Genomic DNA, 18,838 nt, shown 5'->3' with positions numbered 1-18,838 from the left:
GAAAAACCAGACCAGGCCAAGGCTCACGCCTGTAATCCTAGTATTTTGGGAGGCTGAGCTGGCCAGATCACCTGAGCTCAGGACTTCGAGACCAGCCTAAGCAACATCAGAAAATCTCATCACTACAAAAAACAAACAAAAAACCATCGAAAAATTAGCTGGGCATGGTGGCATGTACCTATACTCACAGCTACTCAGGAGGCTGAGGTGGGAGGAGCGCCTGAGCCCAGGAGGTCAAGGCTGCAGCGAGCTCTGATAACACCACTGCACTCCAGCCTCGGTGACAGAGTGAGACGCTGTCTCAAGTTTTAATAATCGAACCTAAAAACGTACAAATTTATCAATCGAATTCACTATATTAACACATGAATGGGAAAAAACGCTGTGGTAATCGAAATAGATGCACTGTTTGATGAAAATCAACATATATTCAAATGAATACTCTCAGCAAATTTGGAACAGAATGGAATGACTCACTCTGATAAAGTCCATCTACAAAAAAAGGAGAGTGAATAGGATGGTGAAATGTTGAAATTTTTCGGTTTCTCATCAGGGATAAGACAAGGATGTCCACTGTCACCATTGTAACGGGTGGGTCTGCGCAATGCCATAAAATCAGAAAAGGAAATAAAACTCTTTACAATGGCAACGACGGGCCCGCCACGGTGGCCCACGCCAGTAATCCCAGCACTGTGGGAGATGACGTGGGTGCATCACTTGCACTCAAAAGTTCAACAACAGCCCGGGAAACATGGCAAAACCCCGTCTCTACAAAAAAATACAAAAGGGAAAAGAAAAAAAAATGGCGGAAACAAAACTGCTCTTATTCCAGGATGATATGTTTCTGTATATTGAAGACTGAAAACGACCTAGAAGTAAACTTTAGAATTCACAAGCATATTTCACAAGGCCGCTGGATAGAAAACCAATATGTAAGAATTATGTCTCCACCGGGCGCGGAGGCTCATGCCTGTAATCCCAGCACTTTGGGAGGCCAAGGCAGGTGAATCACGAGGTCAGGAGTTCAAGAGCACCCCGGCCAAGATGGCGAAAGCCCATCTCTAGTAAAAACACAAAACTTAGCCAGGCGTGCTGGTGGGTGCCTATAATCCCAGCTACTCGGGAGGCTGAGGCAGACAATTGCTTGAATCCGGGAGGCGGGGTTGCAGTGAGCAGAGATCGCGCCACTGCACTCCAGCCTGGGCGACAGAGCAAGACTCCGTCTCAAAAGAGGACAAAGAAAGAAAGAAAAAAAAAAGAACGATGTCTCTACATACCAGCTCAGAGAGTTACAATACACGATTTCAAAGAATGATACATATTTCACAGCATCAAAAAGCTAGAAATAAACTTCACAAAAGATGCGCAAGACTTCTTTGCAGAAGGCTGTAAAGCTTTATTGGGAGAATTTTAATGAACAAATTTCCAACATAGGAGCAGCCTGCATCATTTCAACGTGTCTTCTTTTAACACTGTGATTGCTTTTCACCTGTAACAGAAACACAACGATTGGGAACATGACTTAGCAACAGATTATTCAGATGACCCTAAAGGCATACAAAGCACACTACAGTTTGGGTTTTATTAAATGGACTAAAAACAGAACCCTATGGGTGATCCCGTGTCTTACACGCAATTGAACCTCTGCATAAACTTTGAGCGTAGACCTGCAGAATTTAAAAGGAATTTCCCCCCTGAACATCAAGTGCTTCCTTTCAAGTCACAAGCACTTACAATTAACAGTCAGCAATTTGGAAAACACATGTGTAAAGCATACTTCAGTTGATTACTCAGGAAGTACTAGAGTCATGGTCTTTCAACTTTAAATCTTATCAATTCATGTCTCTAAAGCTGAAACTTACATGTAACATTTGATATGATTAGAGATGATTATATCGTATGTGTGTCTACCGTCTTATTAGAAATAGTGGCTCATGAAGACTGACAGTGGGGCAGGGAGCATGCATAGCACAGGCATCTTACTCACACCCATGCTGAGCATCACTGACCTACATGCCACAGATGATAGGAACTAAACGGTCTCTCGCCATTTGATATTTATTTCAGTCACTCAAGGTTTCCGTGGGGAAAGATTTAAGAAGCAATTGTACCATTTGACCCAGCCATCCCATTACTGGGTATATACCCAAAGGACTATAAATCATGCTGCTATAAAGACACATGCACACGTATGTTTATTGCGGCATTATTCACGATAGCAAAGACTTGGAACCAACCCAAATGTCCAACAACGATAGACTGGATTAAGAAAATGTGACACATATACACCATGGAATACTATGCAGCCCTAAAAAATGATGAGTTCATGTCCTTTGTAGGGACATGGATGAAACTGGAAATCATCATTCTCAGTAAACTATCGCAAGAACAAAAAACCAAACACCGCATATTCTCACTCATAGGTGGGAACTGAACAATGAGATCACATGGACAGAGGAAGGGGAATATCACACCCTGGGGACTGTTGTCGGGTGGGGGGAGGGGGGAGGGATAGCACTGGGAGATGTACCTAATGCTAGATGATGAGATAGTGGGTGCAGCGCACCAGCATGGCACATGTATACGTATGTAACTAACCTGCACAACGTGCACATGTACCCTAAAACTTAAAGTATAATAAATAAATAAAAGGAAAAAAAAGAAGCAATTGTTCATTAAAAGCCAGAGAAACCCTGCCTGGGCAACACAGTGAGACCTCATCTCTACAAAAATGAAAACAAAAAAATGTAGTCAGGCACGGTGGCTTGTGCATGTAGTTCCAGCCACTCGGGAGGCTGAGGTGGGAGGACGGCTTTAGCCTGGGAGCCAGAAGTTGCAGTGAGCTGAAATTGCATCACTGCACTCCAGCCTGGGTGACACACTGAGACTCTGTCCCAAACAAACAAACAAACCAAGAAGAGGGAGAATTCACAATTTCACAAGATCTTACACTACGTATTCAGCTCTCCACACGGAAAAACTAGGATGAAGCAGAGGGCCCGCTCACTGTCTTACTGACAATGAAATCTCAATTCAGAGATTTTCAGATGACTCGGGCCAGGGTTTCATGATTTGTGATTAACAAACCATGCGAAGCAGATGATCTCTGTGTCCCACGCATTCTATGCAACAGGATCAGAGTATGAAAGAAACGGAATGCAAAATGGTTTTAAAATCTCTGACTTAAACTCACTATTTTCATAAGAACCAAAGATAGGTTTAGAAGGGAAAGGACTCACTCAGAATCTCGCCAAGGCTGTAAGAGCTGGTATTAGAACCCGCATGAGTGCTTCAGCATTTTTCACACCAAGTGATGGGTGTTACAAACGTGTTATGTATTGATTAAAAGCAGACCTTTACAAAAGCATCTGAAAATTGTGAGCTACTGGTTTAAGGATTTATACTCAAAACTTTTAATTCAACATAGCTTTGACTCAGTTTGTTTCCCTATCTGACAGTCTATCAGTCGGGTGCTGGGGCCTGAACTACGTTTCAAATAACCTTCATATAAGAACTCTCTTACTAAAGAGGCAGTATTGTTACCTGTGTTATTAAAAATATAATGCCTTGGTCGCGTATGGTGGCTCTCGCATGTAATCCTGGCAATTTCAAAGGTTAAGTTAAGTGGATCACCTGAGGTCAGGAGTTCGGGAACAACCTGTGCAACATAATGAAACCCTGTCTCTACTAAAAATACAAAAATTAGCTGGGCACATTGGTGTATGTCCATAAGCCCAGCTCCGCGAGAGGCTCATACAGGAGAATCACTTGAACCCAGAAGGCGGAATTTCCAATGAGCCGAGATGCCACCACTGCACTCCAGCCTGGTGGACAGAGCAAGACTCCATCTCAAAAATGTAATAATAATTATGATACGATACTGTGGAAACAGACACCCTACAATGTGCATGCCTAATGGATTCCCTACCTTCTTCAGGCCTTTTCACCTCCTCTGGATTTGGCAGGCCCATCTCCTGGCCATCAGGACCATCTCCACACTCACACCCAGTCTTTGGGTGAACCTGTTCCTGGCTATCAGCTTCAGGCTTCGGCCATTAAAAATAAAAAATACATATCAATTTAAGCAGTAAAACATGAAATATGAATAAGAAAATAATATTCATGCTCTCGGTGTTATTATATAAAAGCTTTAGCTAGTATAATAATAAATATGTTGATAAGAATCCCATGAACATTATTTCAGGAGTCTGTTAGCAGAAAACAGGAAAACAAGGTGTTCCAAATATTACCCTCTTCCTTTCCAGAGACTGCCCTCAGACAACTCTGCTGCCTCCTTTGCACTTTGTTATTCTACCTCTGATTGTCCTTCTCATATTAAATGATTCAAGGCTGAAATCCTGTCTCTCACAGCACTTACACTCCTAGCACTTAGACTGTTATATGGCATGACTAGCCAGCAATAAATGCTGAGTTTAAAAAAGGTCTTTAAAAAAGACATGAAAAAGCCCAAACTGCAGAACATTCTGGAAACCAACTGGTCTATCCTCTTCAAAAATGTCTGTATCATGAATGACAAAGACAAATTAAGGAAACATTCCAGATTAAAGGAAACTAAAAACACCTGAAAAGCACATGCAAGATGTGATCCTGAACTTGACTCCGGATCAGAAAAAGGAATTCTATCAATAAAATTATCTGCGTTGGGCGTGGGGTCTCACTTCTGCGGGATAATTAAGGAATCAGAGAGACCAAGGGGTTGAGGAGGAATTATTTAATTATTTAGGTGCACCGACCCAGTTGGATTACATCCAAAGGACTGAGCCCCAAACAAAGAGTGAAGCTACCTTTTAAGCATTTCGTGGGGCAGGTGAGATCTGTGCAGGGGAAGCGTATTACAGAAGCAAGAAACAAAGGCAGTTATTCAATTAAAACATGCATTACATCATTTCTTACTTTTCAAGGAACAACATGTTTTGCGACTTGAGATTATCTGTCTAGTGACCTTACTGCTGCACAGCTAGAGAAACAGTCTTCACAATGCCTGGGAAAGGGGGAGATAAGGCTCACTAGCCACAGAAGGAAAAACAGGCAGTTAATTTTAAAGGACTCCAGCTCTTTCTCTTCCTCAGGGGGAGTTGGGTTTTCTTACAAACAACTGAGTTTTTGCTTACACATTCTTTAATTTCTTCTAATTCCTGTTTCATTTCCCCCCTTTGGTGCTTTTCATAACAAAGGTGTTCATAGCAAGCACCATTATTTGCCACCTCTTCGTGGAGCTGGGCTTCTTCTTCTACTGGCAGCAGCTGATGTTTGGTTAATGCCATCAACTGTGAGGTAGTGTGTCGGGTTACTATTGCCTTTATAGTTGACTGAATACTCCTAATAATCAGGGGTAAAATAAAAGGGAGGATGAGGCAGATGCCAAGATTAAACAAAAACCCACCAATGAGAGTTTTGAATCCTCCAAAGGTTGAGAACTATCCTCCAAACAACAAATCCAAGGACCATCCGGACCAAGTCTGAACTGGAACATGGGCCAACTTGCGCATTCTAGCTGTGATTTCCATGACAGCTCAGCCATTATCATCGATTTCTAGGCAACAGTTGGTTAAATTAAATTTTCCACATACTCCTCCTTCTGAGGCTAAGAGGTAATCTAAAGCCAATCTATTTTGATGTATAGCATTTCTCATTTGTGTTGCTTGTATTGCCAATAAATCTAGTGCCCTTGATGCTTCATTGGTTATAATTTCAAGGACTGCCTGCAACCTTATGACGCAGTTGAGCATATAGATTGTGGTGTGATATCCCCATGACCCATCCTGTGCCCAGGTAGTTGGCCCATAATATTTAGTGATTGTTTCATGAGGCCATTCATTATCCTTCCAGTCTCCTATGTCTACATCCTTTTTGACATTTGTGTCTATTTTTGTGAATATGCTTCTTCTAGTTCTTCTTTTATTTTCCTCATAAACTGGATACCCTAAGAGTTCCCTTTGCTTTAGAGGAATTAGAAAGAAGGATGGCTTGATTGTTCCTAACACACACGCCCCTGTCCATTTAGCCAGCAGTTGCCAATATGCCTATGTGCCACAGATCCAATATAGGCCAGAGGGTGCTTTCCAAGCATTTGGAGCCTCTAGAGATGCCAAGAGTGGCTTAGAGTAGAGAACCGAGAGAAAGGGTTTGGATCTGGTAAGTAGGAGTCATTCTGGGCATTTCTCCATAGAGTTTTGTTTTTAGTCTTATCATAATACTGTTGCCCTAGGCAGGTTGTTTCTCCTACTCTCTCTGTGAAAGCCTTTCCCCAACGGGCAATACAGTATTTTTCAATTATGGAGGTTTTTAACAACCAAACACTGGCTGAGGCTGTTGGTTCACTGGCAGGGTTAGGCAAAGTGAAGTTATCTTGTGGCATTAATTCCTTTGCCTCCCATGGCCACTGGTCCCCCATATTATTTCCTCCACATACATAGCATGAGGAAATTCATAAGCTGCCAGCTATGTTTGCAGCTGATTGGGCAAATAAGTTTTTGGTTGATGGGGGAAGCTCAGGCACTGACTGAACAAAATGCTTATAGAATGACTTACGGACCCGAAATTGCGGGGTTGGACGCATTTGAGTCCTTCTAGTCTTTTTGACAATTAGTAGTGGAACTCCAAGGCCTGCTCCTTGTCTGTTTACCTGTAATAGTGCTGTCTGTCCTGTAGACGAGAAAGGTAGCTCTGGCTTTAAGATAGTAAAATTTAAAGGATTGCATGTCCTTGTCTTACAATTTGGTTTGGTTGACATACTCCTTAGCAGAGCAGTCCTTCCTGAATATAAGTGTTAGAGCTGTGTTAGTGTAGACCACTGAATGTTACAGTCAGGGCATCTGATTTGTGGTTCTCCATACAGATGTTTAGGGCTGGTCCTGCTAAGCCTCTCTTGTGTTAAACCATTGCAGACTGTTTCTGGTTGTATGTGTAGGTTCTTAACTTGATTCCTGTACATTTATAGTAGGTATGGTACAGTAGAATTTTAACTATGGTATTTTTTACCCAGGTAGTGTGTACACAATGTGGGCATCCTTCTCAAGATTTCTCCCCTTTTAGTATAGGCAGAAATGGTAACAACATCAGTGTACGTAATAGAAACATGTTTACACTACACATGGGCATGGCAAACCTTCTTCTGAGCATAGACATTTGCAGCATTTGCAGTAATAACAACAGAACAATCAGTATTGACAGAATTATAACTAGGCTTATAAATTGTATTTACATTTAATTATCCGGAGATGGTCCTCTTAGCTTCGGCCATGCATAGACTAGTCAGCTTCCAGGATGTGACTAGAGCAGAGCTTGTAGGATCCTCAAGCTTCAGCCATATGTAGACTGACCAGCCTCTGGTGTGGTCAGAGCAGGGCAGTCGTCCTTCTTACCGGTGGTTGGGTTTTGCCGTAGGAGCATTCGGGTGGGACAATCTGGGTCTTGTTGGCTAATCCACTGGTCATCGTCGGGAGTCACTGCTGCCACTGGTTTCAGGCGGCTATGGTGAATCCAAGGTGTGACACCTGCAACTTTAACAGCAGTGGAAGTAGACATGATCACAATATGGGGCCCATCCCATAAGGGCCCCAAGGTTGTTGGATTCCACCTTTTAACCCAGACAGAGTCCTCTGGCTTATGTGGATGCACTGGGTCTGTTAGACTTACAGGTATCCTTTCCCTTACCCAGCTATGCACCTCCTACATTCCCACTCCTAAAGCCTGCATCTGTCTCCTAAGGGTTAACTCTCCTAACTCCTTTAAATCCCCTCTAATTTGATTAATAATTGGGGGTGGCCTTCCGAACAATATTTCATAGGGTGAGTACCCAGTTTGTTTTGTAGGTGTACACCTGACCTGGAGGAGGACCATGGGCAAGACCTGATCCCATCGTAAGTGAGTTTCCTGGCTAAACTTTTTTAGTAGCTGTTTGAGTGTCCGGTTCATCCGTTCCACCTTCCCTGAACTCTGTGGTGAGTAGGCTGTGTGCAGTTTCCATTTGATCTTTAAAAGTTGAGTCAGCTTTTGTACTACTTCTGCCACAAATGCAGGACCACTGTCTGATCCTAGGGTTAAAGGCAACCCAAATCTTGGTATGATGTCTTTTAGTAGCACCTTTGTCACCTCTCGTGCCCTTTCAGTTCTGGTGGGGAAGGCCTCAGCCTACCCTGAGAAGGTGTAAACAAACACTAGCATATACCAGTAACCTCCTGCTAGAGGTAACTCAGTGAACTCTACAAGCAGGTTCTCACAAGGAACAGTTCCTGCTTCCTGAATTCCGGGAAGTCGAGTAGGTCCTTGTTTTGGATTATTCCGGGCACAGGATAGACATTGTTCAAAAACAGCATGGGCGATGGCAGAGAGCCGTGGCACATAGAAATGCCGACCTATCAAAGTTTCTAGTCGTCCTTCCAATGTGTGTTCCTTGATGGATCTGCTTCACAAACCTTGGGGCTTTTGTTTCTGGGACAGCTAGCCTCCCGTCAGAGAACAGCCACCATCCATTTTTAATATATTTTCCTGTTTCCTGACCAAACCAAGCTTTTTCCCTTGAAGAGTAATTGGTTACCTCCAATAAAGGGGGCTCTATAAGGAGAGGCATTGCTAGAGTTCTTTCTTCAGGTAAAGCCTTTCTCATTGCTGCCTGCCTAGCCTCTTGGTCTGCCTTTCTGTTGCTGGGCACCTCATAGCTCTTCCCGATTTGGTGTCCTTTGCAATGAATAACAGCCACCTTCTCTGGAGCCCATATGGCTTCTAATAATTGCAAAATTTCCTCTTTATTTTTTATTTCTTTTCCTTCAGTAGCCAATAGTCCTCTCTCTTTGTGTATTGCCCCATGGGCATGCAGGGTTGCAAAAGCATATCTTGAATCATTACATATGTTTACTTTCTTCCCCTTGGCCAATAACAGTGCTCTGGTTAATGCTATTAATTCAGCCTTCTAAGCAGAAGTCCCAGAAGGTAAGGCTTGAGCCTCAACCACCGAGTATTGGGTCACTACTGCATACCCTGCATATCACACCTCATCTGTTATGAAACTGCTACCATCAGTGAAGTATTCAACATCTGGGCTCTCCAAGGTGGTATCTCTGAGATCTTCCCGGCTCGTTCACCGTATTTATGCAACAGTGGGGAAGGTCCTGCCAGCAGTGAGGCAACCCACCATCATTCCAATCAGGGTCCTCCACAGGCCGTATTTATAGTTTCCAGTGTTATCTGGGGATTTTCACACAGAAGCCCTTGATACTTTAGCATTCTAGAGTTGGACAGCCAACGATGTCCTCTTTGCTCCATTAAGGTGACTATAGCGTGTGGCACCCAGACTATTGTCTTCTGACCTAGGGCTAGCTTGTTGGCATCTTCTATAAGGATTGCCATAGCTGCCAGCGCCCTGAGGCAGTGGGGCCAACCTAAGGCCACCAAGTCCAGTCGCTTGGATAAGTATGCTACCGGCCAATGTCAAGAGCCCAACAACTGAGTGAAGACTCCAGCTGCCATTCCCTTCCGTTCATCCACATATCAAAAGAAGGGCTTTTTACATCTGGCAACCCTAGCGCCAGGGCTTGGATGAGAGCTTCCTTTATATCTTTGAAGGCCTTTTGCTGTTCCTTTTCCTATACGAGGGGCTCTCTTTCTTTTCCTTTGGTAGCCTCATATAAGGGCCTTGCTGTAAGGGAGAAGTTTGGAATCCAGATTCGGCAGAATCCCACTGCACCCAGAAATTTCTTGACCTGCTGCCTTGAAACTGGGGTGGGCAATGCACATACAGCCTCCTTGCATGCACTTCCAAGCCTGCGCTGGCCTTGGGATACCATGAATCCTAGATATCCAACCTCCCGAAAACAGACTTTTGCCTTGTCCCTGGACACTTTGTAAACTGGCCTGTATTCACCATTTGGCTTGCGCACAGGCAGCAGAGGAGTATTCCAGAAGGACTTGCATTTCACTATAATCCTATGTTCATACAGCCGATTTAAATGTTTTGTTATGCCATCAATTGCCTCTCTGGGTAGGGATATTGACGGACTCGTACCAGGGCAGCATGAGGGTTAAGCTCTACTACCACCAGGGGTCTGTTTGCAGCAAGTCCAGGGGGGTTGTCCTCAGCCTATACACCTGGTTCCTTGAAAAGCATTCCCCACTTATTGTGTAGGTCTGGCTCCGGTAGCCTTCTGGCACACAGTTCACAGAGCCGCCATTCCTCAGCCTTTGTGACAGTTAGAGTCAATACCATTGCCTTAGACTTTCCAAACTCCAGTGTCATATTCCCTTTAGGTGTAAAGGAAATTTGTGCCTGCAGTTTCTGGAGTAAGTCTCTTCCTAACAAGGGCACTCGACAATTTGGCATATATAGAAACTCATGCTGCACTTCTTGTCCCCTAATAATACATCTCCTGGATTTGCAAAAGGGTCTCTTTTCTTTGGCCCCTGTACCCCCTACGATAGTAGCACAGTTCTTTGTGGGGGGGGGCTAATCGGGTGGGTTACCACAGAGAAATCAGCACCAATATCGACCAAAAAAATCCATTGATCGGCCCCCTACTTCCATAGAGACCATAGGCTCCCCGGGGCCTAAAAGGATGGAGCCCGGTCTGTCTCAGTCTGCTAAATTCTCGGCCCCCCGCTAAGCCGATCAGATCAGGATCTGCCTCGGAAGCACCACAACTAGCAACCGAACGCCGCTCTTGGGTGTTAGGCCATTGACCATTCTCCTTACTCTTTTGACATTTATCCTTCTAGTGTCCTTTCCTTTTGCACCGTGCACATTAATCTCTCTCTAGCCTCGGCCGGCTTTCAAACTCCTGTCCAGACTAGCCTTTTCCATGACTGCGTTCACACCCGCGTCCATGTCTCCTTGCAAAGAGCCAGCTTCTCTTCCTGTAAGGGCTGCTGCTAGTAAATTAGCCTTTCTTAAGCCTCCGATCAGCTTTCTTCTTTGCCTCCTGATCTCAGTTAATGTACACCTTGGTAGCCACTTTAATAAGCTGAGTAGCATTCACACCTACGGAGCTTCTAACTTCTGCAATTTATGCCTAATATCTCCTTGGCCCTGACTTACAAATGTTGTATTCACCATGCACTGATTTTCAGCAGCCTTGGGGTTAAACGGAGTGTACACCCAAAATGCCTCACAAAGTCTTTCTTAAAACTGGCTGGTGCTTTTATCTGCACCCTGGAGCACCTCTGAGATTTTTTATATTGGTTGTCTTTTTCTTTTACTATCCTTTAGCTTTTGCAGAAGTGTTTCTCGGCACCTTCGTAGGTGTTGAAGCCAGACTGCATCATCTGGGTCCTAGTGGGGGTCCTTTTGTCCTCGTAAGAGGCGTAAGCATAACTTCGGCATGGCCAGACCTGAGACGGCCTACCTGACTTTTCTAGCTTTTCACTTTAACTTCCTGGAGCTCTGATTTCTCCTTCTGTGAGACTGGGAGCCTGTATCTCTTTGAACTTAACTCCTTAGGGGCAGTTAGCCTTAGTAAAGGGGGGTAGATTGGAATGTAGGGAGGAGGGGTCTCTATTCCCTCCTGTGGTTCTTGCAAAACCAGTTTTCTCCTTCCTCAGACTTTTCTTTTGTTTCCATAGCTGCCAGGGCAGCTGATTTTTACTTTCACTTTTGGCTTTTACTTTTCACTTTTTACTTTTGGAGTTACAAGCCTCTGTGACTTTCCCTTTAACTCTGTAGCCGTCAGAGCAGCTGGTTTCTCTTGGCATGAGCTGCGAGCATTCTACAATAAACTGCTAGGCAGGGCTGCATTCATTTAGTCATCAATGTAAAGACTAGGTCTGAATGCCCTGGCTGTCCTCTGACCCTAGTCACCACCTTAAAACACATGGCCAATTTCTCTGTAGTGCCTTCGGCCCGCCATCTGACACTAAAAGAGGGCTATTCTAATTCACAGTATGTCCTTAACTTTTGAGCATCCAGTTTCATCCCATAATCACCTCTAAATCTTTTTTTAAATTTTTTCATCATGCACTCCAAAGGAGTTGGTTTCAACACTTTTCCTCCCATTTCCTCCCTTGTGGCGCACTTTCACTCTCACTTTCACTCTCGGGTCCACTAGACTGGGTCCTATTATGGGAGTTTCAGAGGCTGCTTAGCCAGGAACGTGCCTTCCCCTCTCACAGCCTGCTGTGGCCATGGAGCTGGTCCTATCAGCTGTACACAACGTCCTAGGTCTGATTTCCCCCGCACTTGCCTCAGAGCACACAGCCCACGCTAAGGGATCTGTGCTTCCCCACGTCACTCCCCGCATTGGCCTCTCCCGAGACCGTCTCTTTCACACACTTTCACACATGTCCCCTGCCCCAGGACTCCTCATCGGACAAAACGGGCCTCTCCCGTGTCCTGGGTGAGCCTAGTTAGGCTCCCACATTCACACACCTACACACCACTCCTACCCCAGGACTCCTCATCAGACGAAACGAGCCTCTCTCATGTCCTGGGTAGGTCCACACACACACCCACACACTCCCAGTTGGGCTGGCAAGCCACTCTTGCACCCTGCCAGCAAGCTCTTCCTTGCTGCACTTGCCACTCTATTGGCCCATTTTCTCCACCACTGAGCCACTTTCACTTTATTAGGGGGACATGAGGTTCATCCAAATTGGCAGGCCACTCCTGCTGCCCCCCAGCCACTCTGGGTTGGATTAGTGGTCGGTCCCCGGGAGGTGATCAAGCTCCCCTTCATCCCTATGGGATGGGCTTTCCTGCCTTGGGCCCTTTCTCCTTACTGTGGTACCTGAAGTGCTGGTATCATGCTGCAGCCCCGTCTCCAGTTCCGTTGTGCAGCCAGCTAGGCCACTGGGATGCCGGGAGAGCCAGTCTCCATCCAGGTGAAGCTCCCCTACGGCACGCCTTGGATACCAGGTCTCCCCTGGCCGTGGGGCTCTAGTCCCACAGACAAAGGAGACAGTAAATCTGCCATCTCCAATCCCTGTCCGGGTCACCAGAAATGCTGCAGGATAATTAAGGAATCAGAGAGACCGAGGGGTTGAGGAGGAATTATTTAATTATTTAGATGCACCGACCTAGTCAGATTAACATCCAAAGGACTGAGCCCCAAACAAAGAGTCAAGCTATCTTTTAAGCATTTCGTGGGGCAGGGGGAGATCTGTGCAGGGGAAGCATATTACAGAAGTGGGAAACAAATACAGTTACTCAATTGAAACATGCATTACATTATTTCTTACTTTTCAAGGAACAACATGTTTTACCACTTGAGATTATCTGTCTAGTGACCTTGCAGCTGCACAACTAGAGAAACAGGGTCTTCACAATGCCTCGGAAAGGGAGAGATAAGACTCACTAGCCACAGAAGGAAAAACAGGCAGTTAATTTTAAAGGACTCCAGCTCTTTCTCTTCCTCAGGGGAAATTGGGTTTTCTTACATACAACTGAGTTTTTGCTTACACATTCTTTAATTTCTTTTAATTCCTGTTCCATCACAACTGTAATCCAAACATTTTGGGATGCCAAGGTGGGCAGATCAGGTGAGGTCAGAAGTTCAAGACCAGCCTGGACAACAGGGCGAACCCTATCTCTACTAAAAATACAAACAAACAAAAAAAAGGAAACATTACTCAGGCACGGTGGCCAGGCCCTGTAGTCCTAGCTACATGGGAGGCTGAGGCAAGAGAATCCCTTCAACCTGGGAGGTGTAGGTTGCAGTGAGCCAAGATTGCACTACTGCACTCCAACCTGGGCAACAGAGAGAGACTCCGTCTCAACAAAGGAAAAAAAAAAAAAGGAAAAAAGAAATTGTCTGGAGAACTGGCGAAATTTGAGTATACACTGTGTAATAAATGACTGCATTTTCTCATTGTTAAATTTCCTGATTTTGATTTTTCTGCAGTGATGACCAAGGAATTACTTTTTCTTTGTTCTGATGATGTACACACCCTCAAGTACTTGGTGTAAAGGGTCATAACACCTGAAAATTTATCGAAACAATTCAGCATTAATAACAGTAAACATATATCTGTATGTGTGTGTGTGTGAGTGTGTGGGAAGCAGGGTAAGAGAGGGAAGTGATATGAAACCTATGAAGCGAAAGCTATTAACAATTGGTGAATCTAGGTGAAAAGTATAGGAGTTCATTGTACTATTCTTGCAAATTTTCCATAATGTTATGCCTTGAAAATAGATACAGTAAAAATTTAAAAGAATATATGACAATTACACTGAACTTTAGGAAGACAGGAGGTTTTTTTTAATTATGGTAAAAAATACACATATTCTAAAATTTACCATCTTAACTATTTTTAAGTGGTACAGTTCACTAAGGAGTTATGTTTGCAACATTACCAGCAACTAGGCACAAACTTTGCATCTGTGTTTTCCTATACCATGAAACCTTTAGTTATCTGTTTGTTTGTTTGTTTGTTTATTTATTTATTAGTGATAAGGTCTTGCTATGTTTCCCAGGCTGGGCTTCAACTCCAGGGCTCAAGCAATCCTCTCACCTCAGACTCCCAAGTAGCTGGGACTATGCGTGCACAGCATTCAGCCCAGCTTGAGACCTTTCTCCTAAATGACAATCTAAGGATAAACCACAGGACATGTATAATGCTTATATTCAGCCATAGAGTACCGAGAGCAGTGTGCATCAGCTAAGAAATCTCAAGTCTACCACATGGATAGGATTTCGGTTACAATTACAATGTCAATTTCTGAAGGATCGATTAGCTGAATGGATTTGAGGACTATGGAAAATCTTACAGTCATGACACCCATTACTTATTGAGGTAAATAGAAACTTCATTTTGTTCAAATAAAGTTATATTTAGGTCCAAAGGTCCTAAATGTAATATTCCATAAATGAACCCCGTGAAGAACAAAGCACCAAATATAACATTGTTTGTGAATCACAGAAAATATACTGTCCCACACTGAGAATAAGGGAGTGGGAGGACAGCAATTAATGGGCATTGTTGTCAGTCAGATTCTAGAAATTTTTAACAGTGCATCCCTGGAATAATCCATGACCTCAGTTACATAAATGTTTTGTTTGAAAATATTTTATCTAGGAGAAATTATTTCTATCTCAATGTTAATCTCAGGATAATTCCTTTTTTGCTTTTTCTAACCATAAAAGGATTTAATCACCTCCTAAAAGCCACTTAGAAAATAACTAAACCAGCTACCTGTATGGCAGTATCCTCATTTATCCAGCTTTTATCAAATGTACCATATAAAAACATCAATCAAAGGAAACAGTGGCTGACATTCAGTGACTCGGTTTTTGGAGCTGCTCCTGCTCCTCTGAACTGGGTCTATTCTTGGGTCAGTACTAAGCTACCTTACAGTAAAGCCTTTGAGTTTTAAGCATTTTCAGCAAAATCATTTCCGTTTTTACAGCAACATAGATGGTAGGAAGACACAAACCTTGGAACAAAATACAAATTTTGTATTCACCAGTCAAGGGCTCTTGGATAAAACACAATCCCAGCGCCTCCATTTTCTCATTCATAAAGATGAGAACTTTTATCATAGTGAGGGATTTGCCTAAGCTAAGCTGCAAACTACATAGCCTCCTCGCTTTTCCAGTCAATTTCAGGCATTCTTTCCATTGTTTTCTTTCCTCCTCTTCCTCCTATGTGACAATGCCTAACACACACACACACACACGTGCACACACACACACACGAACACACACACACGCACACACCAGCAGACGTTCTTCTTCCCTTTCCCTCACCTTGACCTGCAGATGCTCCCTCATCCTCTCCCTCCTGAGCAGCTGCAGGATCCTGACGTTGAGTTGCTGGTTCCCCTTCTTCAGGTGTTGCTGGTTCCACTTCATCACTGAACTGCTCGGGCTGGGGAATACGTGTGGGTGTGCAAATAAAAAATAAGTTTCGTTATTGATACAAAATTTTACATATATACACAGAATACATAGCTATTTCTGGTCCTAACTAAGCCTAAAGACATTTCTCCAACTCTATGCTCTATGCCCAATAAGGTTACTCGACCCACAGGAAGGTTACTATGAGAAAAGTGACGCACGAGGACTTTGGAGGCTATTATACTCAGTGTTGGAATACATGTGTACAATCTGTCATTAACAAACAAAGCCTGAGAAAGAAGTCATGGGCAAAAGCTGAAGAACACTAGAGGAAAAAAAATTCTCCAGAATCAATGTTTCCTTCATGAGACGCCATCATCATTTTTTATGAGCAGGAAAGACCTTTATCAGCATTTCCATACTAATGCAACAATACTGTCACAAAAATTAATTTCTGCTAATAGAAAACAACGAATTAACGTTTAAGCACTCACCAGCATAGGCCCAATCATTTCAGGGGGCTCTACGTAGCGTCTTGGTCTAGGCCGATAGGTCGATCTTCCTCGCCAACTCATATTTCACACTGAAAACAGACAACCGTGATTGGGAACGTGCGCTCCACAGGGCTGCTATATTCGATCACCTCCATGGATAAATGTTAACTTGTCGTTTTAATTTTGAAAATACTTTCAAAATAAGTCCCAGAGTTAAGCATATGTGTGTACCTTTTCTGAGTGCCTACAAAGCCACTTATGCTGGCCAAGCTGGCAGAGCAATCATCTTAAGGCGTGTGACAAAACGCAGAGGACATTTTTTTTCTAAATTTCTTTTGGTCCCGCAGTCTCCCTGTGTTGCTCTGGCAGAGTGCAGCGGCGTGATCACAGCTCACTGCAGCATCGACCTCCTGCTCAAGGGATCCTCCCACCTCAGCGTCCCGAGTAACTGGGACTACAGGCGCAGGCCATGGCGCCCCACTGGCAGAGGTCATTTCTGATGAGGTTTAGTTTCACAAGTGGACTCCACATGAAAACATTAGTGAATCATAATTCTCGTGATTGCTACTTTGGGCACACTCCCACTTACTAGAGCCATTCACTTCTCTCAAATCAAGTTTGATTGGACCGCACAGCCTCTCCCAGTCCTTCCCACTGTTGCCAGACCTTCCATGGCGGAGGTGAGATCTTGCGATGCTTCTCACTCGGGGCTCCCCACTCCACAAAGCTCAGGGGCACTCACCAGCCCGCAGTCTTCCCAGGTGCCAGGTCCCTTCTTTATCGCCCTCCTCGCACCTGTCCGGGACCTCATTCAGGGATCTCCCCTGTATCGGGTATTCCTGGCACCTCCGGACTTCCATCCCTCTGACAGCACACCCAGCAATCGCCCCTTCTTCACCTGAGCCCCTGACCGCCTCCCCTCCATGGCCCACCTTCCTCCTTGTCCTGGCCCCTTCACGACCACAAAGCAGATGGTGGCCTCACAGCCTTTGAGAGAAGGAGGACGACCTCAAGGCCCTTCTCTTTCAGAGGCCAGGAGCCCCTTCCCTTTCAGAAGCCTCGAGGCCCTTCTCCCTCAGAGGCCACAGACCACGAAGCAGGACCCAACGGACTCACCCGAAGCACACTGCCTGCTCTTCACCCTCACTCACACTTCAGACCCCGGGAGGACTGGCCTGCAGACCTACCAGATGAATCTCAGTAGAGGAAAAATATTCCAGACGACAGGAACGAGACCACACACCCTCACAGCTCCCTGGCGTTCTCCACGTGGGTAAAGCGGCTGAGCAGAAGACGCCCAGTGGACATGCGCACTGAGGCGGGAGCCAAGGAGCATGTACAGCTGCGGGTTGGGGAAGGCTGCCGTTCCCAGCCCCACGCCCCCAACCCTCGATTCCCATCCCCACTGAGGATAATGGAATCTGACCTCCCTCTGCTGTTTCCTATGCCTCTGGGACTCAAGTAGTGCTCCCCTCAAAACTCACTCCATCTTCAACTAAACCCCCCTCCCCTCCAGGGCCCTCTCTTGCCCCGGCCCCACCATGGGGACAAGGACCACGGTGACTGCCTGAGAAGACAGGTAAACCACCTGCGAAAACAGAAATAGCAACCTACCCCAAAAAGAAATTGTTAAATGTGAACAAGTCAGAGAAAGAGACTGAAAGAAAAATGAATACAATCTCTAGGACCCATAAGAAAATACTAAAACGATATCTATCATTTGTAGCATCAGAATCACAGAAAGAGAAGTGCCAGTATTAGAGAAACAGGAGAGCCAGAGTGACACCATGTGAAAATCAACTCCATCTTGAAACTCGCAAGACACATTCCTTACCAGTCACAACCCATGGTCCTAAGATGTTTGGAGTTGAGAAAACAGACGAAAGGTACCTCCAAGGACATGCTCCCACAGCAGCAGAAAGTGCAGGGTTCTCAACACCCATAACAATATATGCTTTCAACATAATTATGCTTTCATGGACTTACACACTGGAAAGTCAAGGATAGTTTTCTTTAAATCAATAGAATGATAAATTTCATCATGCCCTTAGCACACCCTCACAAAGATACAGATAAGTTTAGTCTTTACATAGAGAAGACCCTTGTATAAGAAAAACTGGCCAGGCCAAGACTCATGCCTGTAGTACTAGTATTTTTGGAGGCTGAGCTGGGCAGATTGCCTGAGCTCAGGTGTTCGAGACCAGCCTAAGCAACATGAGAAAATCTCATCACTACAAAAAAAAAAAAAAAGAAGAAGAAAAATTAGCTGGGAATGGTTACATGTACCTATAGTCACAGCTACTTAGAAGCCTGAGGTGGGAGGATCACTTGAGCCAAGAAGGTCAAGGATGCAGTGAGCTCTGATAACACCACTGCACTCCAGCCTGGGTGATAGAATGAGACCCTGTCTCGATTTTTAAAAATAGAAGATAAAAATGTACAAAGTTATCAATCTAATTCACTACATTAACAGATGAATGGGAAAAAAATGCTGTTATAAACAAAATAGATGCACTGATGAAACTCAACATATATTCAAATGAATACTCTCAGCAAATTTGG

The 18,838-nt window shown here is 44.5% G+C and overlaps 1 protein-coding gene and 1 long non-coding RNA gene across 3 annotated transcripts; both read right to left on the bottom strand.

The window, feature by feature from the left end:
* Window positions 1-1,372: 1,372 nt before the first annotated feature.
* On the bottom strand, window positions 1,373-17,571 carry GAGE10 (G antigen 10; the record flags this gene model as incomplete). 2 transcript variants are annotated; one of them, NM_001098413.4, is made up of 5 exons in its annotated part: window positions 1,376-1,489; window positions 3,929-4,054; window positions 15,693-15,813; window positions 16,277-16,365; window positions 17,464-17,571. In NM_001098413.4, the coding sequence occupies 4 exons, from the start codon at window positions 16,355-16,357 to the stop codon at window positions 1,467-1,469; spliced, it is 351 nt and encodes a 116-aa protein (NP_001091883.3). In that variant the 3' UTR covers window positions 1,376-1,466. The 2 variants fall into 2 exon arrangements, with proteins under 2 accessions (XP_024308093.1, NP_001091883.3); XM_024452325.1 differs by lacking the exons at window positions 16,277-16,365; window positions 17,464-17,571 and having other exon boundaries at window positions 1,373-1,489; window positions 15,693-15,852.
* LOC124905188 (uncharacterized) lies at window positions 5,019-13,372 on the bottom strand. The gene is made up of 3 exons (XR_007068231.1): window positions 12,735-13,372; window positions 7,226-7,523; window positions 5,019-5,554 (listed from the first exon to the last, which is right to left on the bottom strand). It is a non-coding gene; the product is annotated as an uncharacterized LOC124905188 (long non-coding RNA).

Source organism: Homo sapiens, chromosome X, assembly GCF_000001405.40.
Source record: "Homo sapiens chromosome X, GRCh38.p14 Primary Assembly".
Classification (NCBI taxonomy): Eukaryota; Metazoa; Chordata; class Mammalia; order Primates; family Hominidae; genus Homo; species Homo sapiens.
The sequence above is the reverse complement of the archived record's forward strand: the minus strand, read 5'-3'. Positions and strand labels throughout refer to the sequence as shown.